The following is a 1,758-nucleotide window of genomic DNA, read 5'->3' as shown; positions in this document are numbered from 1 at the left end:
TCACACACAGGGCCTGTGGTGTGCCATGCGGGCTCGGCTGTGTCGGGGGATTGGCCAACCTGGACCTAGGGAAGGAGCCCAACCAATGGGTCAAGAAATCCAGCTCTGTCCGGCGACCTTGGTCAAGCCGCCAAATGTTCTCAGGTCTTGGTTTCTTCATCATTCAAATGGGAGAAAAGATCTGCCCTTTCATGAAAGGGTTATGGGAAGAATCAAACATGAAAATGCTCTGAAAAGTACAGAACACTATGTAAATATTAGGTATCTCTGCTACTATAATAATTGTTGAAACAAGGTATTAATATAAGTGTGTAACATCCCCCAGCTCTTCTACACATCCCTGTTTGGGGAGTCCTCTGACCTAGCCCCCCTTTTCCTTCCTCTGGCCTGGGGAGGGGCAGGTGCACCCCCTGGATGAGAGCCCTTGAGGATCAGCAGCCCGTTATCCATGCCGGGTCCCCATGCAGCACCATCGCCTCCAGCCCCTGGCCTCTCCACTCAGCTCCCTAGCTGCTTCAGCAGCAGGAACAAGAGTGTGCCTTGTCAGACAAGCCCCACGTCTCCGTAGAACACACTCTCGGCATAATTACTTATTGGAGAGGTGCACAGGCCCCGCCTTTATCACAGAGCTGCTGCCACCACTGTATTGTCGCTGCTGCAGCAGCTGAAGGCTGCACGTCCCCAAACCAAGGAAGCAGGAGCAGTTCTCTAGGTAAGTAGGGCCAGGTAGGGCCATGCTTTGGAGGGGACCTTGTGGGCCTGGCTGTGAATAATTGGAAGGGAGGAGAGTCCACAGCCCAAATAAACGCCAAGCTTGGCTTCTCTCCTTCCTGGCATCACCCACCATGAGCCCCCACCTGCCCATCTCTAGGGAGGTCCCCCTTCACCCTCCCCAGGCCCCCTTTCCCCTATCTCTGTCTCTGCCCTGGCACCTGGGTAGGCCCCTTATTAGCCTCCTCTACCTTCTCTCCCCCCAGGAGCTGGGGTGTGGCCTGTATCTCAGGCATGGTACCAGCAGCAATCCAGGCAGGAGATAGTGCTTGAAGATGCAGACAGGTAGTTAGGGTGGGTCCCATTCCCCAGAGCCAGGTGCAGGGAGCTGCCACCTCCCACACACCACCCCCTCCACCCACATGCCTGCCCAGGGAAGCCACTTCCAAACAGCCCTTGGGAATGGCGCATTTTCTCACCTCCCCCACATCTCAGCAGGCTGCTGAGACAATTGACCTCATACCACAAACATCAGCTCTCCCAGCTCCAGAGAGTTTCCCACAAGGTCCCACCCCTGAGTCCAGCAGAGGCCCAAGCCCATGGGTCCAGAAGAGGTCTGTATCCTCTACCTACCTATTTCTAGACAGTGACTATTTCTAGAAAAGATGGGAAACTGGGCCCTGGGGTCCTTGACTCCCCCACCTCATTCCTGGGGTCCCTGGGGTACAGTCCTCTAGCTGGGCCATTGGTGGCACCAGGGCAGCCTGAGACTCTGGGCTATTGGTCCTTCCAGGGGTCTCACCCTTGTGGGCAGCAGAGGCTCTGAAGAAGGCAGATCCTGCTTTCCCTCTCACTATGGAATAACCGAGCCCCTTCCTCCACATGCACCCTCTCCACTCCACCCTCTGCCAGGCTTCGCCCCAGACCAGGGCTGGCAGTGGTCATGCTGTCCTCCTGAGCCAGGGTGGGTTCTTTCGATCAGTCCTAAGCCTGTTCTGGGACACCAGTCCCTGCCCTCAGGACATCCTGCCCGGTGCCATCTCAGGG

This window comes from Homo sapiens, chromosome 11, assembly GCF_000001405.40.
Source record: "Homo sapiens chromosome 11, GRCh38.p14 Primary Assembly".
NCBI lineage: Eukaryota > Metazoa > Chordata > Mammalia > Primates > Hominidae > Homo > Homo sapiens.
The sequence above is the reverse complement of the archived record's forward strand: the minus strand, read 5'-3'. Positions refer to the sequence as shown.